The sequence below is a fragment of the Homo sapiens genome, chromosome 1, assembly GCF_000001405.40.
Source record: "Homo sapiens chromosome 1, GRCh38.p14 Primary Assembly".
In the NCBI taxonomy this organism is placed as follows: Eukaryota; Metazoa; Chordata; class Mammalia; order Primates; family Hominidae; genus Homo; species Homo sapiens.
The window spans coordinates 87,428,764-87,456,173 of record NC_000001.11 but is presented as its reverse complement, the minus strand read 5'-3'; the positions used below and the strand labels follow the sequence as shown (position 1 = coordinate 87,456,173).

The window sequence follows — 27,410 nt, the reverse complement described above, 5'->3', positions numbered from 1 at the left end:
CGATGTAAATATAAAAACTAAAACCACATAGTATAGAAAATAAATGGCTATATTATTATTTAGACTTGGTAAGGAAAGGCTTTCTAACTATGATTTAAAATCCAGGGGCAATTTTTTAAAAGATTAATAAATTTGACTGCATTTTTTGTGTGACAAAAACCACCATAAACAAAATCAAAGAACAACTAACATATTGGGAGAAAATATTTGTAACATAAACTAGAGAAAAAAGGCTAATATTCCTTACACATAAAAAAATCTTTAAAATTGAAGGACAAAATCCTGAGGTAAAAATGAGGAAAAGGCATAAACAGATAATTTCATTTTAAAAAAAAAGACAAAGATTCAAAATGGCTTTTAAACATGCAGAAAATGGTTAAACTCACTGATAATTAAGGAAATCCCTTTCTCATTTATTGAATTGGCAAAAATAAAACAAATATGAGAATACATTCTGTTGTTAAGGCTTGTTGGTGAAGCTATGGGGAAATGGGCACTTTCCCTGTTAGAAATGCAAATTGGTACAATCCTTTTGGAGGGATATTAGGCAATATCTAACCGAAGTACACATGCATTTCCCTTTTCACCTAGCAATCCCACTTCTAGGGTATGTATCTCTGACAATACAAAAATGCATACGCATAAACTTACTCATTATGTATTGTTTATAATTGCAAAACACTGGAAACAACTTAAATGCCCATCATGGAAGAGTGCTTGAATAAGCTGGTACAATAACATGGAGTACTATGCAAATGTATAAAACAATGGGGAAAGTCTCTAGAGTGGATATGGGGTGCTTTCCATGACATATTAAGTAACGGAAAAAAAACAACAACAAAACCCAAAACCCAAAAGATGTGATTTTGGGTTATGTGATTCTTTGTGTAAGAAATCAGATATAAGAAAACACACAGGTATCTGATCCTTTATGGAAAAAAAAAATCAAGAACAATAAACAGGATTTGAATAAACTCGAAGTATCTCCCTCAAAACACTTATCAGCTACAAAGAGAAATACAGTAACTGTATAGTTGTAACCACCCAATGGGTTCTTCCTGCCTGCTCTCCAGAGAGAGCCAATTTATCAAGACAGGGGAATTTCAATAAAGAAAGTTTTACACATATAGAACTGGATAAACAGGAGACTAGAGTTTTATTATTATGCAAATCAGCCACCCTGAAAATTTGGAGACTATGGTTTTTCAAAGATAGTTTAGGAGAGGGGGGTGGCTAGGGAATGGGTGCTGCTGATTGGTTGGGGGTGCAATCATAGGGGTGTGGAAAATGGTCCTCATGAGAAGCTAAGTCCACTTCTGGGTGGAGCCAGGACCAGTTGGTGGGTCTGGGTGGAGCCATCCATTTTCAGAAACACAAAAATCTGAAAAGTCATCTCAAAAGGCCAATCTTAGGTTCTACAATAGTGATGTTATCTGCAGGAGTAATTGGGAAGTTGCAAATCTTGTGACCTCTGGAATAATGGCTGGTAATCATTTATATCTACATGTTAACAGAATTCAGGTTCCTTTCATCCTCCTAATCTGGTGGTCTTTCATCAGCTTTACACAAAGGTGGTTTAGTTTTGAGGAAGGGATATAATCTGTTAAACTATAAACTAAACTTCTCCCAAAGTTAACTTGGCCTAAGCCCAGAAATGAGTAAGGCATTTTGGAGGTTAAAAGCAAGATGGGGGTTGGTTAGATCAGATCTCTTTCACTGTCATAATTTTCTCACTGTTATAATTTTTGCAAAGGTGGTTTTATAATGGAGAAACCAGCAGACACTAACCTAATGGAGTGCTCAAAGTAAATATCACCATTAATAAGGCATATCAACATCATGAATCCCTTGGCATGATGTGCTGAAAAGGGATATAGTATCATTTCTGTGGTATTCTTGCCAAAATGGCATAACCTCACTCTAATCATGACAAAACGTTAGACAAACCTAAAATGAAGGACATTCTACCAAATTACTCATCAGTGTATTTATAGGTAGACAGGCATAAGCAGGGCAGGAGAGGGCTCTTCCCCCACCCACTAAAAATGTCAGGTGATGGTTTGGCAATTATCACATTGCCTCTCTAAAAGTGATAAATTGGCAGCCAGCGCCAGGGAGAGGCCATTTCCTGATTGTCTGCACCTGTTGCACTAAAGTGTGAACTTAATGTAGGTACCAGGGAAACACAACTTCCCAGACATGTGCATTAGGAGATAAAATGGCAGAGTATGGCCTTCCAGGGTCATGCCATGAGAAAAGGGAAGAAAGCCTCCAATGGGCATGCATACAACTTCCTAAACACAGTGCACATGCTCAACTCCCAAGGGTAAGGAGGGCACTGTGCATGAGGGCAGCCCCCTTTAAAGGAAGAATCATGGGAAAGAGGCCAGCCTATAAAGTCCTAGGATCAAGGTTAAACACTACAATTGACCTTCACATGCCCACTTGGGTCTCTTCCAAGCGTACTTTCTTTTCTTTCCTTTTCTAAAGTCTTTTTAAATAAACTCCCACTCCTACTCTGAAAGTTGCCTTGATCTCTTTTTCTGCTTTATGCCCCTCAGTCAAATTATTTCTTTTGAGGGGGCAAGAATTGAGGTTGCTGCAGACCCGTATGGATTTGCCGCTGGTAACTCGGATACCTTCCACTGGTAACAATCAGTATCCTTCGAAAAGTGCCAAAGTTATGAAGGACAAGGAAAGACCAGGGAACTGTCACAGATTGGAGTCAACTAGGGAGAAATACAACTCAATACAATGTGGGGTCCTGGATAGGCTCCTGAGACAGAAAAATGATATTTGGGTCTCTAGCCATACCACCCTGAACACACCCAATCTTGTCTGATCTTGGAAGCTAAGCAGGGTCGGGTCTGGTTAGTACTCGGATGGCAGAAAAATGATATCTGCAGGAAAACTGGTGAATATCAGATGCAGTCTGTAGCTTAGTTAAAAATATTGTACCAACATCAATTTCCTATTCTTGATAATCATATTAAGATGATGAGAGACAGTCAACATAAGCAGAAGCAGGGTGAGGGATTAAAGTAACACTTTCTAGTATTTTTGCAATTTCTTAAAGTCTAAAATTAATTCAAAATAAAATAATGTTTTAAAACTAAAAATAAATAAATAATTAAGTAAAATGGATCTCTTCTATTAAGGGTTTTCTAGAAATCTCCATCTTTCCACCACTCTCCTATAAAAGTTTCAATAACATTTTCCAAAACCACTTATCACTATTCTAAACTGCCAGTGATCAAAAGGGCAGCCTTGCAGGTTGCCAAATTAGTGAAGAAGAGGAGAAAGCTAGAAGGAAGAGGAAGTGGAGCATCTGAGGGAAAGATTTTTAAATGACCTCCTTTGTGTTGCTAAATTTATTCATATCCTGGAATGGGCTACAACCATCACAAGGACACAAAAATCATCAGGTAAATTCAAGGACTTTTTAAAAATGCATCTAACCACCTCCTGTCCAAAACATTCAAGCTTAACCTTTCTCCTGAAAATGCAATCTGCTCTCTACACCCTGCCTGCATACCAGATTCTGAGACCTAGATTGCCACAGGAGCAGAACCATCACCTTGTCCTGATTCAATAGGTTCTTGTTGTTACATTATCAGCTTAAGATCCTGGGGTATGTGGAGATGTGCCTATTCATTGCTGAAAGACTTCATGCACAATTTATGTCCTTCACATAACTTTGTCCTTAAAAGCTATTTTCTGAATCCATTTCAGTTGTGTTTTCCCAACAGCCATATTAGGAGGTGACTGTTGTTTTTGCATATTCAAAGTAAAAGAAATGAGACAAATATCTCAAAATGATTGAGGTGCTCACAATAAAAAGGTAGTGATAAAGATAGTACCAGATCTCGTATCTGTAGCTTCTGTGCCCTTTTTCGTAGTCCAGAGGACTCAGCTACTCTAGCAAATGGATATATGAGAACTAGTGACCACAGTTAATCCAGCTGACATGACACCAGCCATTACATTCAAGTGCAGCGACGCATTTTGCATTGCTTAGCTCTTTCTAGTTTTCAAAGCCCTCTTCACATATTTTATTGAATTTGATCCTCAAACCACATTGTAATGTAAGTAGAATAGCTATTTCCTTTTGGTAATCCTAACATCATGCCATTCAATATATAAATAAAGCCCCTTTATTTATATTACCTTATCTAGGTCCCACTAAAAAAAAATATATAAAGTAGCAGTGTCCCCATTTTCTAGATAACTGAGGCTCAAAGATTAACTGGTCCAAAGACACCCAGGCAATGAGGGGGAAGATGGAATATAAGAGCAAGTCTTTTGACTCATATTTCCCCCACTGTGCAATAGCTGCATACCAAAATGAGGAAAAATTACAAGTTTCTGACTATGAGTCCAAAAATGAGTTAACATGTGACTTTATACTAGAGGAGAATCTAATGAGGTCACTCTGCTTAGCTGTTTAGCTACCACTGCTATCCCAGTGGGACTGGGCAAGAATAGAACCAAGTCATGCAAGTAAGAGCAGCATCTGATCGGGCGATGGGCTTGTATTCAGGTTGTTATCTCTATGGATAGCTGTGGTTCCCTGAGGAACCATTCCAAAGACGTTAGAAGAGCCAGGTAGAACCCACATTAATTCATTGGTTAAAGCTCAGAAATAATCATGAGGTCTCTGAGACAGGTGACAATTAGTCATAGGACGGCTCCTATTATACACAAAATTTCGTTGAGCCAGCTCTCCATACTTTACTTCTTGCCCTAGTGTATCTTAAAGATGTGGTTTTCCCCTTGCCTAATCCAGGAGAGCTGGATTTCATAACTAACAGGACTTTAGACTTGTGCTTCACCTTTCAGCAGGCTGCTGGGTTCCATGATGTCCCAGAGCCTGACTATGTGCTTATGATAAAAAAATAAAAAAATAAAAAAATAAACTGAAGAGGGACCCCAGGCTGCAGGAGTGAGATGGGCATGCGAAGAATTGCATTTTCTCTGGTTCCTAGGTATGCTGAAGATGGCATCCAGGAGAAACCTTCTGGCCATCCCTCAAACTGTCCCATAGCTCAGCTGGCAGCTGCGACTTAACTTACAGTGACATCAGCAACATGATGAATTCCATTGCCAGCAGCCTGGACTCCAGGAGGCGCCCCAGGCGTGGCTGATGTGCACAGGTAGGAGCCTGTCCTCTGCGTGGCCTCTGCACTGGAAGAGCTTCAGGGCCTTTTCCTCCAGGGCTGATGGGATTTGTGTTTCGCCTCTGTTTGTTTTTATGTACCTCTGTTTGGGGAAACTTTCAAGCATGCAGAGCAACATTCTGATAAATAGTGCAGTGAGGAGCTGTGCTGCATCCTGGAGCCGAAGGTCACAAGGAAGAAACCAAAACCGGTAAACTCAGGGGTGTTGTGGCCCGAATCTGTAAATCCAAACAATCTCACAGTTATGAAATGGAAAGTTTGTGGGGAAAAACAAATGCTTTGGTTATTACAGTGTTACTACATTCATAAAATATATTTCATTGGGGGGGAGTTTACACAGGGGGTAATGAGATTTTTGCTTTATACATTATTTATAACTGCTTAATCCAGGTACTGTGGGTTATTTTTTTATTCCTTCATTTTCACAGCTACAAAACACTTCAGTATTTCTAATGTATTTCTGCTTACAATACAGATGTTCTCAATTGTGTTTCTAACTACATTTCAACCGTTATGATCACGTTTATTTGTTTGTGTCAGCACACAAGCTGGGGTTGAATGTGCAACACACAATAGTAAGGCTTCAAGAAGCCTGTAAAAAGGCCTCTTGTGCTTTCATTATCAACAAATTAAAATATGCTGTGTGGCACTATCTTTATCATCAGTGGTTTTAATCTTTGGATAATTCCCCTACAGTTGGGTAGGCAGAGCGACAGCCCTCTCTCGGTGCAGAAAGGTTGCATGCCTTAAAACAGCACTTTTCAAGATGACCATTTGGAAGCAACATTTGGAGAACATTTGGGTTATGTCCTCTAACTGAATTTCCAAGCTGTTGGTAACGGACTAAAGAAAATGCAGTCTGTACTGAATACTAAGAAAGCAAGAGTGGAAGAGCCTTGAAGGTCATGTGTAAATATTGACATTTTAATTTTATTTAGTATACCAAGTTGGGGCCCTTGCATTGCTTATCTTGCCATAAAAACTCTTCACCCACTTGCACTGCCCTGCAGATTGTCAGGGAAAGATCTGATCTGAGCAGCCGTGGCTACTCTTCCTGCCATTGCTAACAAGACTGAATTTTGTTTGTGCAAAATCTGAGTCAAAGGGGTGTTCCTCCCCTCTCATCTCCATCACGGACTGATGCGCCTGATTAGATAACAGAAATTTGTGGGCTGAATGTTCATGTAGAGACATGAAAGCCAAGATGCAAAACCAGTCAGAGAAAACAGCCTCCCACTCACTCACAGAGTCAAGTCAGGTGTCTAAAACCAAAGTTATTTGGGGAACCAATAACTGGCTAATTTGGCCAGAACACCCTTCTCTGTGTCCTCAGCAGCAGCATGAGGAAGAAATACCAGCATGTCCTCAGGCCTTGTACCCTTCTTAGAAACCAGAACTCTACCTGCGGAGCTTAATCAGGGCCACATTCTGAAAGTGAGATGCAGGCGACAGCCAGGTCTCTCCACCAGCAGCAGTGGTTAGAATGCCCCACGCACTTAACAACTTCCGGGACACATTTGACTGTTGACCTAAAACAGCACTGCTTTCCTCTGCCAAAGCAAAGAGCCTGGCTCATGTAGAATAGGCCAGCAGTTTGGTAACTTGCCAGAGGCTCCTGTCTCCCTACAGTGAGGTCACCAGAATCACTTACCTCCTGAAACACAGTCGACTGAAATGAAGGTCCAGCAGAAATTAGGGGCCAGTGAGTTAAACATGGAGGAACCAGGGCCACTTCAGATGGTCTTTGGCCTAAAAGGTTTTCCCTAAGTGCAAAGAAGAAAATTGAATGTGGGAAAAAAATGATCTTTTAATGCTTCATAACTCAACTCTCTGACTTACCTCAAAAAGAGAGAAATAGTGTAAAAAGCCAACACCATTTTCTGCCCTCTACATTTGGGTTTCAAAAGGTGTTCCTCAAACAATGATCTGGCTTCCATGCCAAAATAAATGTCATGATTTACACCTCATGCTTATGTTTGCAATCCTAATCACCCTTCCCTATGCCAGCTTTATAAGTCTTGCTCAGTTCCACTATTGAAATAGTACACTTGGATTCAAACAACACTCAAAACCCTTGTTTTTTGTTTTGTTTCATTTTTAACTATTACTGAGTGGTAGGGTCAATCCCATTCAAAATTCCCAAGTAGACAAAATCTGTGTCTGTGGCCCTTCCCCTTCCCCTCACCTTCTTGGCAGCCTCCCTCCATTCCCACTGATGAACTTCCAAGCTTCCTGCAGCTCCACTAGTCCTTTTCAACCAAAGGAAAACAAAGCAGTTTCCTACATTAGCGTATCTGCCTTTGTAAAGTAGTTTAGTGTTTTGCACAAACCAAGAGAATGTTCATTTTAAAAGCAGGAAAGAAAGCCAAAGGAATGAACCATTACAGATGGAGTGTCAGACACCATGGCACCTGGATAAAATATAATTTGGGGCAGGGGAGTATATTCTCATCGTCCCTAAAGTAGATGAACCAGTCAAGTCAGTACCCATAAGGCAGGCTTGATAAATCTCAGGACCAGGCCCCTCCACCCGCAACAAACACACATACACCTCTCCATTGTGATGTTTTAGGCGCAGTGTATAGTAGCTCTGCCTATCTACCCAGAACCTAATGTATTCACCTGAAAGTAAACTAACAGAGTCTGGCTGTCCTGGTGATTCTCAAGACCCTATTGCCTCCTCACTTACCCAAAGGAAAGGAGCAGTAGTTTTTTTAAAAATTCAAGAAATCAGTTAAAAAAAATATGTTAGTGTTTCTCTGAAACATCTAAGTTAGCGTGGCACAATTCATTTTATTTATAAAGAATTTGATTAACTCTGGTTAGCCCAGATTTGCTTCAGCCTGAAGCCCAACATCTCCTTTGCAGTGTGGTATCCTTCAGTTGCTCATTACTTGAGCCAACAGAGGCGGGAGGGGAGATGGAGAAAACTGGTTTTATTTGAGCTTGTGAAAATGCCTTTTTGTCAAGTTCAATGTCATAAGTTTTCTTCCACAAGAAAGTAGAATATACTTTCTGGTGAGCAATAGTTCTTTATTGTATAGAAATGGTTCCTAATTCTCAGCAGATAGAGATTTGAGAAAACAGGGGAGTTCTCCCAAGTCACAAAGAATAATGTGATGGTCAACGTGATAGACGGTTGTACGCTTTGATAGCTAGTTTCACACTGATTTTCTGACACATGAGAGAGGAGCAGTGCCTGTTGCCCAAGGAAGGCAATCTGCTGGGAGGAGGAACACAAACATCCCCAAAGGCTACCAGGTCAACTGTCATTTTCAAAATTACCATTAAAAGTAGGCTGGTGGGCCGGGCATGGTGGCTTAAGCCTGTAATCCCAGCACTTTGGGAAGCCAAGGCGGTTGTATCACAAGGTCAGGAGTTCAAGACCAGCCTGGCCAACATGGTGAAACCCCATCTCTACTCAAAATACAAAAGTTAGCCAGGTGTGGTGGCTGGTGCCTGTGGTCCCAGCTACTCAGGAGGCTGAGGCAAGAGAATTGCTTGAGCCCGGGAAGTGGAGGAAGCAGAGAGCCAAGACTGAACCATTGCACTCCAGCCTGGGTGACACAGTGAGACTTCGACTCAAAAACAAAAACAAACAAACAAAAAATTAGCTGGGTGGTGGTAGGTGCCTGTAGACCCAGTTACCTGGGGGTTGAAGCAGGAGAATCGCTTGAACCCGGGAGGCTGCAGTGAGCCGAGATGACACCACCGTGTTCCAGCCTAGGCTGCAGAACAAGACTCCATCTCAAAAAAAAAAAAAAAAAAAAAAAAAGGAGACTGGGCAAAGTGGCTCATGCCTGTAATCCTAACACTTTGGGAGGCTAAGGTGGGAGAATCACTCGAGGTCAGGAATTTGAGACCAGCCTGGGCAACATAGTAAGACCCTGTCACTACAAAAAATAAGAAACAATTAGCCAAGCATGGTGGTGTATGCCAGTAGCCCAGAAATTCAAGGTTACAGTGAGCTATGGCACCACTACGTTCCATCCTGAGCAACAAAGACCTTGCCTGTGAAAAAAAAGAAAAGAAAAAAATTTTATTAAAAATAATAAGAATAGAAAACGTAGGCTGTGTATGCTAGATTAACAAAACATTCCCCCTACAAAAGGGTGAAATTTCAATTTTTCATGAAGTTTGAAATCTATAATCATCTGACATTATTTCCAGGCATGTAGAAAAAAATTCATTTGTCTTTTCATCTGGATTAGTTTATCTCCGTCAATGTGTATATCAGAAGCACCTGGGGATTCTGTGAGTTTGGGGAACATTTTTTTGTTTGCTTGTTTGTTTGTTTTCAAAATATATGGTAGTATCCCACCACAAATCTATACTAAAATGAAATTTCATAGTGTATGTCACATAAATGTGCACTTTGAAAAATCCCCAAGTAAATTTTGAGATTGGCCCTTGATTCAGTGACACTAATATAAACCCTTTCACTTACCTTTGAGTTTTGTGGTGACCAATCTTCAGATTGGAAGCCTACACCTTCTTAACTTGGTCCATGGGGGCACAAAAGGAGAGAGAGTGTAAATTCTGAGGATGACCTTGACAAAAGTGAACACAAGATTAAGAGATGTGAACCCAAAATAAAAGAAGCAAGGAACTCTCTCTTCCCTTGTCATCTTTAACTCTGCTCTCTCTTGATTGTTCTCTGTGTTGTTCACAGGCCCTTCTTCCTATACCCACTCTGTAAAGTGATTTACCCCAAAGCTCTCCACCCCTTTCACCTTGGATCTCTGGCCAGATAATCTCACCTTCCTCTGTGGCTTCAAAGCCATATACATTTGACTTCTGAATTCATCAGCTAGGGCAGCCATAACAAAGTACCACAGACTGACTGGGTGGCTTAAACAACAGAAATGTATTTTCTCACAGCTTTGGAGGCTGAAAGTCCAAGAGAAGGCATTTATGGCTTTGGTTTCTTCTGAGGCCTCTCTCCCTGGCTCGTAGATGGCTGTCTTTACCCCATGTCCTTACATGACCTTTCCTCTGTGCTGGCACTTCTGGTGTCTCTTCCCCTTCTTACAAGGACATCAGTTCTGTAGAATTATGGGCCACCCAAATAACTTCATTTTAACTTATTACCTCCTAAAGACCCTAATATGGTTTGGCTCTGTTTCTCCATCCAAATCTCATGTTGAATTGTAATTCCCAGTGTTGAAGGAGGAGCCTGGTGGGAGGTGATTGAATCATGGGGGCGGACTTCCCCCTTCCTGTTCTCGTGATAGAGTTCTCACCAGATCTGGTTGTCAGAAAGTGTGTAGCACCTCCCACTTTGCTCTCTCTCTCTCCTGTTGGCCATGTGAAAATGTAACTGCTTCCCCTTTGCCTTCTGCCATGATTGTAAGTTACTTAAGGCCTCCTCAGCCATGCTTCTGGTACAACCTGCAGAATGGTGAGTCAATTAAACATCTTTTCTTCATAAATTACCCAGTCTCAGGTATGACTTTATAGCAGTGTGAGAAGGGACTAATACAGAAAATTTGTACCAAATAGTGGGGCATTACTATAATGAAACCTGAAAATGTGGAAGCTGCTTTGGAACTGAGTAATGGACAAAGGTTGGAGCAGTTTGGAGGGCTCAGAAGAAGACAGGAAGATGAGGGAAGGTTTGAAACTTCCTAGAAACTTGTTGAATGGTTTTGACAAAATTGCTGATAGTAATATGGACAGAGATAGCCAAGCTGGTCTCAGATGGAGATGAGGAACTTACTGGGAACTGAAGTAAAGGTCATTCTTGCTATGCTTTAGCAAAGGGACTAGTGGCATTGTGCCCCTGTGCTAGAGATCTGTGGAACTTTGAACTTGAAAGACATGATTTAGGGTATCTGGCAAAAGAAATTTCTAAGCAGCAAAGCATTCAAGATGTGGCCTGGCTGCATCTAACAGCATACACTCATATGCATGCACAAAGAGATAATTTGATACTGGAACTTACATTTAAAAGGGAAGCAGAGCATAAAAGTTTGGAAAATTTACACCCTGGCCATGTGGTAGAAAAGAAAAACCCATTTTATGGGGAGAAATTCAAGCCAGCTGCAGAAATTTGCATAAGTAAAGAGGAGCCAAAGGCTAATAGCCAAGACAATGGGGAAATGCCTCCAAGGCATTTCAGAGACCTTTGCAGCTGCCCCTCCTATCACAGGTCTGGAAGCATAGGGGGGTTATATGGTTTCATGGGTCAGGCCCAGGGCCCTGCTACTCTGTGCAGCCTCAGGACATGGCTCCCTGCATCCCAGCTGCTCCAGCTCCAGCCATGGTTCAAAGGGCCCCAGATATGTCTTAGGCCACTGCTCCAGAGTGTGAAAGTTGCAAGCCTCACGGCTTCCATGTGGTATTAAGCCTGTGAGTACACAGAGGGCAAGAGTTGAGGCTTGGGAGCCTCCACCTAGATTTCAGAAGATGTATGGAAATGCCTGAATGTCCAAGCAGAAGACTGCTGCAGGGGCGGAGCCTTTATGGAGAACCTCTACTGGTGCAGTATGGAGGGGAAATATGGTCTTGGAACCTCCACACGAAGTTCCCACTAGGGAATTGCCTAATGGAGCTTTGAGGAGAGGGCCACCATCCTCCAGATTCAGAATGGTAAATCCACCAACAGCTTTAAGCTCCATTATTTTGGAGCTTTAAGATTTAATGACTGACTTGCGGGGTTTCAGACTTGCATAGGGCCTGTATCCTTTATGTTTTGGCTGATTTCTCCCTTTCAGAATGGGAGCATCTACCCAATGCCTGTACCCTCCATTGTATCTAGGAAGTAACTAACTTGTTTTTGATTTTGCAGGCTTATATTTGGAAGGGACTTAACCTTGTCTCAGATGAATATTTGGACATGGAGTTTTGAGTTAATGACAGAATGAATTAAGACTTTGGGGGACTGTTGGGAAGGCATGATTGTGTTTTGAAATGTAAGAAGGACATGAGATTTGGGAGGTGTCAGGGGCAGAATAAAATAGTTTGGTTCTGTGTCCCCACCCAAATCTCATGTCTAATTATAATTCCCAGTGTTGGAGGAGGGGCCTGGTGGGAAGTGACTGAATCATGGGGGTTGACTTTCCCCTTGCTGTTCTCATGATAGAGTTCTCACAAGATCCGGTTGTTTGAAAGTGTGTAGCACCTCCCCCTTTGCTCTCTCTCTTTCCTGCCAGCCACACAAAGATGTGTCTGCTTCTTCACCTTCCACCACGATTGTAAGTTTTCTAAAGCCTCCCCAGCCATGTTTCCTGTACAGCCTGCAGAACTGTGAATGAATTAAACCTCTTTTCTTCATAAATTATCCAGTCTCAGATATTCTTTATAGCAGTGTGAAAACGAACTAATGCAAACCCGTTTCTAAATACAGTCACATTCTGAGGCACTGGGGGTTGGGAATTCAACATATGAATCTGGGGAGACATGGTTCAGAACACAACAACTTCCAGTTATACAACTTTAATGCTACATGATGACTGGCTCATATATTTGGAAAACTTTCACACGAAGAAGGGACAAGGCAAGGACCAATGTGTGGAAGGTAAAAGCTGAAAATTTTAGCTGAACAAAAGGGAGACCTATGTGACAATGAGGGGGGTCTAGTTATTGCAGGCTGCATTCCCTGATAGTGTGTCCCTGCCACAGGAAGGGCACAGCAGATCCTGAGTGGACCACTATTGTGCCTGTCTTTGGGAAATCCAGCATAAGCCTCCAAAATCCCTTTTCCTCTTTTAATTTGATGACATTAATGAAGGAATATGAGCTCACAGGGATTAAATCAAGACGATTGAAACAAAGAAGTAGAAAGACAACATGTCTACAGAGTGTCTATAGACACGGCATAATCAGATATGAGAAAAAGGATTTTTGTGAAATTTTAGAGTTACACCCTCCCTGATATGAGCAATACAGTGGCAAGCAAGGTAGGAGAGGATGTGCTCTGTATCAAGAATGTTGAGGCCTAGGGTAAAGCTGGCAGGTAAGGGCGGAGCAAGACCAACTAAGAAGCATCTTCCCTTGGAGAAAACTGTCACTCATCAAGTGGATGTCCATGGCAATCTAAATGGAGATTTTCCCAAAGGGACTACAAATGTCAGAACTCAGGTGATTTGACATCAACAAATCTCCCTGAAAGCCACTCGGGAGAATATCTGATGGCATGAGTTAGCATCTGTGGACTAGGGTTGGAAGATCTGACTTGAGCGCCAATTCCTCTGTGTACACTAGTCAGCTGACCTAAGATACATCATTGCCTTCTCTGAGTCTCAAACTCCTCATCTGTAAAATAGAAATAATATGGCCTTATCCTGACAGCACATTGTAAAAATTGATGAGATATGATTTAACTATGAATTTGCTATGAATTTAACCATGCAATTTAATTTATGTAACTGTGAATGGTAGACTATTATTCAGATATATGGTATTAATATTGTTGTCATGTTTTTATTTTGCCCAAGGACTGCCAATACCGTGTGCTATAAATGTAATTAGATGCAGCATGAAAGGCTTTGAGGGATGCCCTTTGATAATTTGATTCACTCAAAAAGATACAGACTTCATAGTCACAATGGGGAAAGTAATCCAGTGGAGGTGTTCATATTCCAAAACACCACTGGGAGATACAAAGGAATAAAAAATTAAGAAATTCCATACATCAGAAGGATAAGAGCTCTTGAGGTTCTTTCAAAGGATAGTGGTTTCAGATTTTACTATGCATTAGTTCTGTCCAAGATGCTTATTACAGGTGAAGGCTCTCCTTCACTAGAAGTCCTCCCCATCCTGACTCTTGATTGCATGGTTCAGTAGGACAACGCTTTGAAAAACATTTCCCTGGAGGGTGAATTCAGACCCTCAAAAGAGGGATTCCATGCTTCATACAACACTATGGAGGCTTTGAAGTGTTTACCACACTTGGGTTCTATTGGCAATACCCAGGGGTGACTTGGAGTTTCCTTAGGGTTCCTCTCCAAAATTTCCATGTACTTAACTCCAAGATATGTCAAAATAAGCATTAAAGCTAAGTTTAAAAATGGTGCTTGTTAGGCAAAGCAGCTTCAAGACAATGCCCTTGATCCTTCTTCCTCTCCAGAATGCCACCCTAAACCCCTCTACCTAGAAATTTTGGATTTGCCAATTGCCCAGAAGGATGAAAGCCACACAGTGCAATCATTGTCAAGTCCTGCTGAGCTGTGCGGAAGCTGACATATGTGGAACTGCCTGAGCTTCTCAGGGGCCTCCTCCTGGCACATCTAGCTCAGATGAAATGGAAGGCCTCAGAGCCCCACCCACCCCACCCAACCCACCTTCATTTATACCAGTTCACAGAAGAATAAGGAAAACAGACAAAGACCATATCTGGAAGATATCTCCAAAGACCTGAAGCCCTAAATAGGAAACTGAGAAATTTGTGGGAACTTTTAGAATTTTGATCTCTTCATACACACTGCTAGTCACTGTTACTGAGAAAGTAGCAAGACCAGGTTTTTCCATTCATTGTCATCTGCCCTTGACATGCTGGACTCACCTACTGTGTCTCCAGATCATGCCCATGGCCCCATGCAGTCTAGGGATCTCCACCAACAGCCAGATCCACCTGAATAATGGAAATTACTTGAATCAGTGAGGGACAACTAACATCAGGTGACATTTTAAGGTAAACTCTTTTATGCCTATACTATTTCTGTCTTTACTAAGTATACTTGTAATCTGATCAGTAGAGTATAAGTAGCCTACTCTCTCATAATATTTTTGTAGGAATCAATACAGTGTAACCAAATTGGTGTCAATAGGTTACATTCCTTATTTGTAATTATTGAGGGTTTTCATTTCTTCATTGAAAAACTATTGGTTTACATCATGCCATTTGACTTCTGGTTCAAGTGCTTTCAAAGAAACTGATTTCTTAAAATGCATCCTTGAAAGCCTGACAGTCTAACAGTTGAAAATCTATGTCAAGACCATATGGCAGACTAAAGATGGGTGAGAAGGCAAGGGATGGGGGTAAGCAAGGACAGTGATACTAAGCATACAAGCAGATGTTTTCGAGCCAAAGCTGGAAGAGCAAATGGAGCAACTACTAATAAAAAGTGGGCATGTACATTTTGATTTCAATGTTTAAAAGTAGCCCAGTGTTCCATTAAAAACAATGCAGCCACTATTCAAAGAGAAAATGTGTGTAATGTGTATGTGTGTGTTACATTAAGAAAAGAGTTCCACTTCAATTTCTGAGCTTCGTAAGCAATCATCCTTGTGATCTTTCATTTGTGCAAAGTTTCACAGTCTACAAAACACTTTCACAAATATTACTTATTCATCCAACAAACATTTATTGGGTTCCTCCTCACTGCCAAGCATTGTGCCAGACACTGGAGATACAAATATCAAGAGATAATACTTACCTTCAATAAGTCCACAGAAGCAATCTGCAATCTCTTAACCTGAACAAATTTAAGGAACAGAAAAATCTTTGCAAAGATCAGAATGGGAAGATGATTTTTTAACATACAATGCCCCACTACAATCCAGATTTCCAAAACCCTAGGAATGATAAAGGAGAGAAAAAGATCACGAATTTCCCAATATTTTGAGAAAGGCATTGTACTGCCTCTCATTCATCAGACTCCATTGCTAATCACTGGAGTTTCATACAGTTTGAGGAGGCATTCCTCCAATGCTTTTCTAAAAGTTTCTAGGTATGTCCTAATACCTATAGACATCTCCATTTGCCATACTCCTGGACTGAAAGGGGGTAGTATTCTCTCTCCTTAATTGTAATAGCTTAGGCATTTGATTGAAAAATAAACCTTGAGTACATTAACTTAAAAAATAATCGAGGATCAGTTATGATGTGTCATGCACTGATTGGAATTACAAGAGATGAGTAAGTCCACGCCCCTAGATCACAAGTAACCCAGGGAGAAATATTTACAAAAAGCTAGGTAAAATAAAATGTAAAGCAACTGCTCTCTAGTAGTGGGAAGGGCATGCCCTAGGGCAGACTTTTTCACCTAGCTAAACTTCCCAATCTCTGACTCCTGTCTTTGCCATGCTACACGTGGTAGGACGAGCATCCGAAACAGACAGCTGACATGCTTTAGGCACTGTGCTGTTTGCACTTAAATTCTTCAAAGTTCTGGAATGGGAATATGTCCTCTGAGCCCATTAGGAAACAAGCCAGCCTAATTTCACTTTTTTAAAAAAATCATATCAAATTAATCTTGTTTTGATAGGAATACTGAGTTAGGTGACTAGAAAGATATAGTGAATCTTGACTTGAACAAGAATTCTGAGAAAGTCTCAAGATTTTTTGCTGGTCATGTTGGAAAATAATTTGTACCAAATGATACCACACAAGATGAATTCATAATATTTAAATGACAGTGACCTAAGGGTGCTGGTGAGCCTAGAGGAAAGTTTCTAAAGATATTTCTTAGCCTGTGCCCTTAGCTCTGTATTATCCAAACATGTTACACAACAATTCAGATGAAGGTATAGAAATCATGCACAATTTAAATGTCAATGAATGTTTAAAATCTTAGAATATGGCAAATAACTGGCACTGTGCTGGCTCATGATAAATATATGTTTGACTTTCTAAAATGAATGAATGAATGGCTTATACAGGTTTGAAAAGGAACTAACACTAAAGAAATCACATGTAATGGGATAAATTTAAGATCCTGCACTAGTATCCAAAACTAAATACTAAAGCACAACACACAAGAGGAGAGATTTTACTGAGCAGTTTAATTGAAGACAGTCATTCCCCATCCCTGCAAAAAAAAAAAAAAAAATACATAAACAAAAACAACTCATATCCTACCTTTAGACTGCATTAATAGAAACATAAAACCTAGAATGAAGGAGATGATAGTTTACTTTGCACTATCAGGTCACAACTGGTGTGTTTTATTCAATTCTGGATGCTACACACTGAACTGACTTCAGGAAAAATAGAACAGTGAATAGGCTAAACAGCATGTGATGTGGGAAATAATTTATTATGTGTGATTATCATCATAATCATAAAAAGACCTAAGTGCCAAGAGCTTTACATGTATTTTCTCATTTAGTTCTCACAACATTTTGCCTATGAGGAAAGTACTATTATTATCCCCATTTCACAAAAAGAAAATAAAGGCTGAGAGAGACCAGGCAACTTGCCCAAAGTCAGAGAGGTGATGGGGCGCAAGGGGCAGCCATGAATCTCAACAAGGCTTCTCTTGTTCTAGAGCCAACACACATAGGAAGGGGAGACAGAGCCAGGTGCAGTGGCTCATGTCTGTAATCCCAGAGCTTTGAGAGAGCGAGGCCGGAGGATCACTTGAGGCCAGGTGTTCAAGACCAGCCTGGGTGACATAGCAAGACCCCCATCTCTACAAAAAATTTAAAACTTAAAAATTAGCTGGGCTTGGTGGCACATGCCTGTAGTCCCAACTACTCAGGAGGCAGAGGTGGGAAGACTGCCTGAGCCCAGGCGTTTGAGGCTGCAGTGAGCTATAATAGTGCCACTGCACTCCAGCCTGGCTGACAGAATGAGACCCTGTCTGAAAAAAAAAAAAAAAGAGGAGAAGACAAATATTAGAAAGACTACCACTTGGAAATAGTATTGGTGCATGGTCATACTGACTATAAAAGGGAGCACTAAAACCAAAGAATGGGAAAATTGGCCCACTATGTGGAAAAATGTACACTAATTCTTTTAGGTGTCTCACACAGATCCCTTCCCAGGCTTTTCCACCCCATTTCAAATCAAATTGACTATTTCCTTGAGCAAGGGCAATTATATTAATTGCAAAAAGTTTTCTGTTTTCCATCTACCAAAGTTTACAGCTCAAACATTTAAGGTAGTGTCTTTCTGTTGGCCACATTTCTATGTCTCTTTCTATTTCTGTTCCTATTAACTACTGCACGGATCTGAGTAATGCAAATACTAAAGATGTTAGCTTTCACTTTACTAAATATATCAGCTATAGCTGCCCTTGAAAGCCAGGACTTGCTCCTTCCCTTGGTGCCACCTTGAAACCAGGATGGGAAATTTACAGGTCACCCTAGGTTTTGAAAAGAAGCCATCCATTTCCAAGTTGCAATCTACTTGAAATAATCTCCCCAATTATGTGGAAGTAATTTACTCTATATTTACTTTCTGCTTTGGACTATCAAATATCTCTTCCTCTTACCCCCGGAGGCAGCAGCTGGGATTAAAAAACTTCTACTACCTGCCTTGCTGGGGCTGCATTATTTAACTCTTTCATGCCTATTTAAGAGCAGGCAAAATTTGCACCAAATGATAACTGAAGTCCCGACTAGCCCTAAGATGTATTATTCTACATTAAACTTATTTGTTTTAGATATAATCTATTTCCAAAACTGTTTATTATTTTTAGCAAAAATTATTTGCAGCAACACTGAGGCTGACCTATATAAAGTTAAGCAGTTGAAGGTAAAATATTTAAGTAACAAGTTGACGCATGCAATGCCAAACTAAAGAGTAGATGTATTGTTTATTTCAGGGTCAGACAAAAGCTCAAGTGGTGCTAAACCTAGAGGTCCCATCAGTTGGGTCATGTCTCACTTTCCACATGAATGGAATGCCACCAATGAAGGCAGCCAGGGGACTGTTTTCTTTCTAATTCCCTATGGTGGGTGTAGCCCTCCAAATCTCAGTGCTTCCTGGTGTTCAACTTCTTACGGAGAAGAAGAAAAGTCTTTTAAAAATAAATCTTGGCCCCTCACATCTCAGAGCCATGGGTGAGCCTGACTTGCTTTTGTTTTTAATAATAGACTACCTTTTAGAGTTGTTTTAGGTTTACAGGAAACTTAGGCGGAAAGTACGAAGAGTTCCCATATACCCTCTCCCTACCCTACCCCTACTCCCACAGTTTCCTCTATTATTAACATCTTCCATTGAACATGACTTTTTTTTTTTTTTTTTTTTTTTTTTTGAGACAAGGTCTTGCTATGTTGCACAACCTGGACTTGAACTCCTGGGCTCCACCGATTCACCCACCACAGCCTGCAGAGTAGCTGGGACTACAGGAGCACCCCATCAGGCCCGACTGAGCATGACTTTTTGACAGGGTAGTCCAGGTTTGCTATTCTTAAGTTCCCGGACCTTAAGATGGCAAAGAATACTGTTAGGCCCATCCCTGTTCCAAATAGGACTCACTCAATCTGTAGCCCTTAACCAGCTTCTAGGGCCAAGCCATTCCTCCTACTAAGAAGCCTTTGTCACAGCAAAGGAAACTGACCCAGAGGCAACCTCCCCTAAAAACAAGCCAGACAAGGGAGGGGGCAGGGAGCAGACAGCAGGAATGGGCTCTGGCGAGGGCCTGAGGACAGCAAGTTTCAACACGGTACTTTTGAAGAGATTGTTGGCTACATTATCCTATCTAATTACAGTGGCATAATCCTTACATGGCTAAACTATTTATTAAAAACAAAGCTGTGCAACAATTCAGCAAATGTCACGGTGCTGTTATCAGTGAAAGTTGCTCCCACAAACCGCTCTTTCGGGGTGTGCTGTGCTAGGAAGAGTCTTTTCCGGGTGCCTGGCCCTTCTTCTGCACCAGTTTTTAATTGCTAATGAATTAAACTTTCCAAGGAGATAAGAATAATGTTGTTTTGTTTGCACACAGATTGCATGACTAACAAGGACGATATAAATAAAACCATTCCAAGTTTTATCTGCGGGTGGACAACAGTGCCTGTGTTCAAGTGAAGCCTGGGATGGCTCCCACACAAGATTAGGTTGTTATTGCGGAAGCTGAGGCTTGCACACTGTTAAAAGCCCGAGCTAATATGTTCGCTTAAGACATTATGCCTAATTATGCTATTTGTCAGTAAGGGAACTTGTTCCCCAAACCTTAAACTATCCTGATGCACCAGTGTGGGTCTGAGTTCTATAAATAAGCCAAGTGGACTCTGTAGGATTCTGAGCTAACTATGCTCCATGGTGTTTATGAAAATGGGCAAGATCCGATCCTGGTGCATTCTCTACCTTCGGGATGATATGTATTCCTACTTGGACCAGTAGCTATCATAACAAATATATGTGAGTAGAAATGTTTGTGCTTTTATTTTTGGAAACTTACCATAAAAATCTACAAGCATTTCCTATAAAATACAGAGTTCTCTGTCCATCAAGTTGTTTGGGAGAACTGAGGAAGGAGATGTTTATTTATGAGTTTGTTTTCAGTTCAAAAAAGGAATGCCTTCATGAGCAGAAGAAATGACTGAGATCTGGAGTTCTGAGTCATGATTTGGGCTTGGCTGGTGGCTTTAGGAGAGTTGAGCGTCCTGTGGTTAATGTTTCTTGTCTCTATGCGGGTGTGGTGTGCTATGATAAGAACGCTAGCCTTGTTTTGGCTGAATGTTGAGTGCAAGGATCCTTTGCTGACGTAAGACCATCTCGAATGGCTAGAAATTCAGAATGGCTAGAAATGTCCCTAAGTGTTGTGTGTGCCTTTCTCTTTGTCCCAACCCTAACCTTAATTGCGTGTGTGTATGTGTGTGTGTGCATGCACGCACACGTGGTCAAGTCAAGCAGTGTAGAAATCTGAGGCACTGGTAGCCCATTGGGATGCCTTTGTCTGGGCTTCACTCATCATCAGTCAAGAGGCTTCAAAAATCAATTTAGTTTGATTAACGGGAGATTGAAATCCCACATCAAGGCCTTAGGAAATCTCATGGTGAATTAAGTCACGTGGATCATTTCATACCTCAAACTTCCTGTGGCTTCCAGGGAGAATCCATAATCTCCAGGAGTTGGTGAGGCAATCATTCACCCCCAGACACATCTGGACTCTGACTGCAACAGGTAGAATCTTAACTCTCTCCAGCCATCCACATCTCTACTTCCAGCCTCTTTCCATTTATTTTCCAAAATACTTAATTGCTAATGAATTAAACTTTCCAAGAGTGCCCCTCTTAGAACTTAACGCTCAGTATCATCATTTAAGCTTATTTTATGATTTTTCAACGTGTCTAGAAGTGTGCTCATTATTTCCTAAAACTATATCCTTTTCCCTGCACCCCACATTTCTTCCTAGAGGACGCCCATTCTCTCTTTTCCCTTCCATCAGAGCTCTAACCAAAGCCCATGGTTGCTCCCTACTCTCTGACTTCAATTCCTCATTCTTCCTCATTCTCGCTTTCACTGATGCATGCTCTTATCACCTCAGTTCTCCTAGTCTTTCATCATTCTAACCCACTCATAAATACTATTTGTATTTGTTTACACACTCAATCAAGAACTTTTTACTGTCATATCTGGCTTAACATTTTTCCTGCCTCTGTGTCAATTTGGCTCCCTTTTTTTTTCTAAGTGTATCATCCACTATTCATCCTTTCATCTATACCCATCTTTCCATCCATCTACTTCACAATTATTTATGGAGCACCTAATGGGCGCCATGGACTGCTTTAAGCACTGAGAATAAAAAGGTGAATAGGTGGCAGCCCGGATTCCCAAGGAGTTCACAGGGGGAGATGGATATGCATGCATCACCTGTGGTTAATTACCTGGGTGTGGTAAAGGCAATGAGAGAGGAGCAGAGAGGACCAGTCCAGACCAGGACAGGGGAAGGCAATCAGAGCAGTCAGCTCCTCCTCCCCAGCCAGGCTGGTCTTTCTGCAAAACCATCATGCCTCAGTTCATGGCTTCCCATGCTGTGTGCCCTTTCTATCCAAATCCTGGCTATTTTACAAGATCATAGTCTCTAAGCTTTCAGTAGTCATCTCCATACCATGCTTACCTCTACCTCTGGGAACTTTTAGACTTATCATTCATAGCACCCAATTTAGGAATTGTTTGATACATGATGCTTTGCCTTCTCAAATAGGTTATGGCTTCTAATTTAAGGAGAGATCATTGTGTCTCAATACTTCTTTTGTGTTCCTTACAATGTGCTACCAAAAACACTGAATTAAAAAACAGCACATGGATAATTCATTCCTAGATTTTCCTGACCATCTTACCTTTTCTGCCAACATGAGTAACACCTTATGTATACGTAGTAGGCACTTAATAAAATAAAGACATTGTCAGACATTGAAAAGAATAAGCACTTCGAACTCAAGTTCAAATTCTAATTCAACTACCCTGGCTGTTTGGATTTAGGCAACTTTATCTTTTCTGAGCCTCAGGTTCCTTAAATGCAAAATGAGGACTAATAACACAAACTTTATTTCTATTTAGGGGACGATTAAATGAATCTGTATATGTAAAATGCCTAGCACTGTGCTTTGCACACATTAAGGAATCAAAACATGCTAGATCCTGTCCCTCCCTCTATTCTTCCTCCCCTCTCCGTCCCCACCCCTTCATGCAAGGCAAAATCTGGCAAGAAGCAATAGAGACATTTAAAACTTTAACACCTGCATGCTTTTGGTTGCAAAACAGTGCTTAAGCTTTTCTCAAACACCCAACATAAATCCTAGGAAGGACCTAGATTGTGTTCATCACACCCAGCTTGTCACAGGGAAAATCTTGGTGTATTACTCAGTCTTATTATGTGGGCATAAATGTGATAAAAGTTCTGTGATCTTTGAATTCTATGGCTCTCAAAAACATGTGACACTCTACATTTTTTACTGTCCTTCATCAGTCAGCTGATTTTGAGACCTAGGGAAACCCCTGTACATTCTTCGACCCACAGAAAGGGTTAAAGATTCCTACTACAGAAGGACTCAGTGTTCTAACTCTAAATGTCATGGGAACATGGCCTGGAAAGGCTGAGCGCCATTGCATTACACAATTACCTATTTACTGGAGACAGTATATTTAATAACTAATCATCTAATCTAATAATACTGAAGAATATCAGACTCAAAGGTCAAGTGTTTAAGATTAGGGAGAAAGCAGCCTTAAAAGTACATTGTAAAGAGCCTCACAGATCAACAAGTCAGCCTTAGAGCCTGCCATGCAACCACCACTTCCAGGCCGTTAGGGGAATCAGAAATGTCACTATCTTTCAAACTTAGAATATTGATTATATCCACTCTACTCATAGGGGCTTTATTCCATGACAACTCTGAGTTAGCAATTTAGGAAAATGATTTCATCCTGTATAATGCCAGATTAGCTCGATGACGAAAAATGTTACACTAGGAGCTCTTTGATACACACTGGAGAGCTCTTACCCAAAATGTTATTTTCCCTTTGGACTTTCCTGTGTTGATAAGTTCTGTTTGCTTCCAACTGTGGTTCACTCTTCTGGATCTTTTTCTCAGAGACCTAAGTGATCATCATTTCCAGAGATATTTGTGGTACAAATTCTTTATTTTCAAGTTCTGAAAACCTCATGCTAAAAAGTTACCCTTTATTTCTCACTTTTAAAAGCCTGAATGGGCACCCTTCCTCATTTTTCATGAAGTTAAAGTATTGTCACAATTCAAATTCCCTAGATGAATCCCTTAAAGAATCACCACGCAGTGTTGACTCTCCAATGTGCACACCTGACCAGCAGGACATGTATGTTTATTCCAAATATTTGAGTTCTTTTCCTTGATCTTTTCATAAGTTGCTCTCACTGCAGTCCCCTGATGGCTTTAAATCTTCGTACTTTGCTCACAATTTCTCAGAGTAGAATATTTTTAGAGAAAGATCTAGACATCTCTGCTTTTTCTAGGAAAAACAAAAACATAAAAACTAAAAACCCTGCAACTCTCAGGATAGACTGGATTATGCTGAGGTAATAAATTAACCCTAAAACCCCAGTGGATCATCAAAACAGAGGCTTCTATTTTGTTTCACTACATGCTCATCACAAGTTAGTGAAATATTCTACTCTTAGGGCTACTCAAGCACCAGGAGCAACTCCAGGTAGTTCCTCAGGGACCCAGGTTGAAGGTGACTACACCATCTGGTCATGTCCCTACTGTACAAAACAAAGAGGATCTCATAGCATTCTTCTATGCCTAGGCCCAGAATGAACATCACCCCACTTCAGTTTATAGCCCATTAACTAGTGAAAGTCACAAGTCCGCTAAGTACCAGGAAATGTGGTCTTTTCTGTGTGCAGAAATAAGAACAAAAAAAGTATGCAAACACATGCACATCACCATTGACTACACTAAGATTTGATGCTTCAAGAAGAGTGAAGCCAAGAGAAAAGGCTGAACATAAAGGAAATCTCTAAGCCTGGACACCCAGTGGATCCAGAATAACCAAAGCAGAATTAAAATACTGAGTACTTACTGAGTACTTTTGTCAAGATTAATGCAAATTTCTATTCTGCCTTTGATTCCTTGATTTTAAAAATTATTTTAAGATTTTTGCCAAGCATTTACATTTCAGGTGATAAAAGAATTTCCAAGGCTAGGTACGGTGGCTTATGCCTGTAATCCCAACACTTTGGGAGGCCAAGACGAGAGGATCATTTGAGCCCAAGAGCTCAAGACCAGCTTGGGCAACATAGAGAGATCTCATCTTTACAGAAGATAATAAAATTTAAAAATTAGGAGGGCATAGTGCCATGTGCCTGTAGTCCCAGCTACTCAGGAGGCTGAGGTGGAAAGATCACTTGAGCCCAGGAGGCTGAGGCTGCAGTGAGCTTTTGTGTCTGGAATTGGTTCCTTCCCGTGGGTTCTTGGTCTTACTGACTTCAAGAATGAAGCCATGGACCCTTGCAGTGTTACAGTTCTTAAAGATGGTGTGTCCAGAGTTTGTTCCTTCAGATGTTCAGATGTGTCCAAAGTTTCTTCCTTCTGGTGAGTTCATGGTCTCACAGACTTCAGGAATGAAGCCGCAGACCCTTGCAGTGAGTGCTACAGCTCATAAAGGTAGTGTGGACCCAAAGAGTGAGCAGCAGCAAGATTTATTGTGAAGAGCAAAAGAACAAAACTCTCACACCATGGAAGGGGACCCTCGCAGGTTGCCACTGCTGGCTCTGGTGGCCAGCTTTTATTCCCTTATTTGGCCCCGCCCACTTCCTGCTGATTGGTCCATTTTACAGAGCACTGATTGATCCATTTTACAGAGTGCTGATTGGTCCATTTTACAGAGTGCTGATTGGTGTGTTTACAATCCTTTAGCTAGACACAGACTGCTGACTGGTGTGTTTAGGATCCTTTAGCTAGACAGAAAAGTTCTCCAAGTCCCCACTGGACCCAGGAAGTCCAGCTGCCACCTCTCACTCTGGTGGCACCACTGCACTCCCGCTTGGGCATTAGGGCAAGACCCTGTCTCAAAAAAAAAAGAAGAAAAGAAAAGAAAAGAAAAAAGAAATGATCTTCCAAGAAGAAAGGTTGATACTAATTTTTAAATGTGAGGTTAATCACCACTTGGTTCACATTAAATTTTCTAGCAAATCCAGGGTTCCTGATTTGCAAGATTTTCTTCTGATTTGCTAGATTTGCTTCCTGATTTCCCTTGGTTTGCTTCTCTTTGTTCAGAAGATAAATTCACACTCAAAGTAGCACAGTGTCTGACATAGACGTAAGTGCTAAGCATATATACCAATGCTTAGGAAGAACAAATAAATGAGTGTGAAATTAGAAGTATCTCTACCAAGAATATTTACACAAATATCTAGACTTATATTCTATGCTACAACAATAAAATCCAAAATCAATGTGTCTTACCTTTTGCATATGATCGTTAATGCCAAAGGGCAGTACTGATTTCATTAAAAGAACAATTAGAAAAAAAGAACAGAGATTTTTCTGTTTTCTTCCAATTTTGAATCTGTCCTCATTTACCCATTTTCCCCATTTTCACAGATTCTTATGATGAAGTTTTCATTTCTCAAGGAGCCAACGTCACCCCAGACCTACACAAGGGAACACAACGATGTTATCATCATTGCTTGTCTGAAGGAAGGGAAGTCACCAATCCTCCTTCGAATAGGAAACCTTGTGGAAAATAATTGTGAATGTACAGCATACCTGAGCAGAAAAAAAAAATGCTGACCAGAACTGTGCAATGAGTTTCTTCCATGTTGGAAGAGTTTGACTTACAACTCAGCCATTCTCTGCTACTTATATAAGAGCAAAGTCATGTCAAAAAAGAAGCCAAAATGAAACGGAATGTTCTTTATCGCAAGAATGACTGAAGTTTCGCCAATTAAACTTTTCCTTAGGCATGAACATAAGTAATAACCTAACACATCCTGAGTACTACTTGGTACTATGCAGTCTGCTAAACACACTACATGCATTATGGTTCTCAAAAGTGGAAGTAATAATGCTCCCAGTATTTGTGCAGGATACAATGAAAATATTAAATTATTTGTTTTTGTTTATTTTGTAACCTTACTATTTAATTTACATTTTTTGCATTTTATTATTTACATCATACTGCATATAGTATATCAGTACCTATATAAAACAAATATATACTCGCACACACATATATGTTGAGAGCGTACAAATAGCAGTTTCAGCTCAGTTTATTTTTAACTGATAAGAAAGTATTATTATTATTATTGTTAGTTATCATTATTCCTGTTTACAGAAAAGGAAACTGAGGCTTAAAGAGGTTAAAATGGCTTGCCCAAAGTGTCAAAGTTGGTAAATGGCAGAGCTGGAATTCAAAGAGTCTGATTCCAAAGTCTATCTAGCCCGTGATCATTAAAGGAATTCCTTGTGCTCAAAGACTGGTGCTTGAAAACCAAGCTCATTTGTGCCTGCAGAAATGCCAACCTCTGGGGTAGAAGAAACGTCATACTTTGATCATCTTCCACATTGAATAAGGAGGAAAAGCAGAAGAAAAGAAACTGAGGGTACCAATGCCAGACAGTCGCTAGGTAGTAAATGCAGAAGAATTTAAAGAAAGTGAAAATCAAAGGAAAATACCACGTTTTGTTGACACCCTATTCCTCACCCAGCCCCTTAATGTCTTTCTACAGAAATCAGATTCCTGGCGCAGGCAGTTCATTGTTTGAAAATGCAGTAATGGACACATCCAGATTCCTAACACCGGGGAGTTCAGAGGCAATCAACATGGATTGAGACACTTAGAGCTTCATCTTGTGCTGATTGAGCACTGAGGGGTACGTATCCCCATGCGGTCCCTAAGAGCTACACCCACGGGAGAAACATTTTATGTTGTTCAAAATACTTGGCGCTATGGTTGTTATCTTCAATTTTCTTAACTAGTAATGAGTGATCCTAGTAAGTGTTAAACCAATATGCACTAGGTTCTCTGTAGGATATTCATTATAGAAGGCTTTGAAGCTGAGGAAGAAGTTTGGAGTTTAGGGAAAATTTTTAAAACAACTCTATATTATAGACATTTAAAAAATAAGTGCA

At 40.6% G+C, this 27,410-nt stretch overlaps 2 long non-coding RNA genes and 1 pseudogene across 2 annotated transcripts in view, besides 1 other annotated feature; 1 reads left to right on the top strand and 2 right to left on the bottom strand.

The window, feature by feature from the left end:
* Positions 1-1,147: 1,147 nt before the first annotated feature.
* Positions 1,148-15,470, bottom strand: LOC105378834 (uncharacterized). The gene is made up of 4 exons (XR_947565.3): positions 14,683-15,470; positions 9,625-9,727; positions 6,829-6,940; positions 1,148-5,395 (listed from the first exon to the last, which is right to left on the bottom strand). It is a non-coding gene; the product is annotated as an uncharacterized LOC105378834 (long non-coding RNA).
* On the top strand, positions 2,801-2,934 carry RNA5SP52 (RNA, 5S ribosomal pseudogene 52; annotated as a pseudogene).
* Positions 6,202-6,581: an enhancer, noted in NCBI's record as "active region_1288". NCBI's record gives its function as "activates an Ori minimal core promoter by ATAC-STARR-seq in GM12878 lymphoblastoid cells {active_cell/tissue: GM12878}" and the evidence as "EXISTENCE:reporter gene assay evidence [ECO:0000049][PMID:35858748]".
* A 10,272-nt stretch (positions 15,471-25,742) lies between the features above and the next one.
* The window catches only part of LOC105378833 (uncharacterized), a 39,237-nt gene continuing 37,569 nt past the window's right edge, over positions 25,743-27,410 (bottom strand). The window contains exon 4 of the long non-coding RNA XR_001738133.2: positions 25,743-25,930. This is a non-coding gene — a long non-coding RNA (uncharacterized LOC105378833). The remainder of the gene's footprint in view (positions 25,931-27,410) is intronic.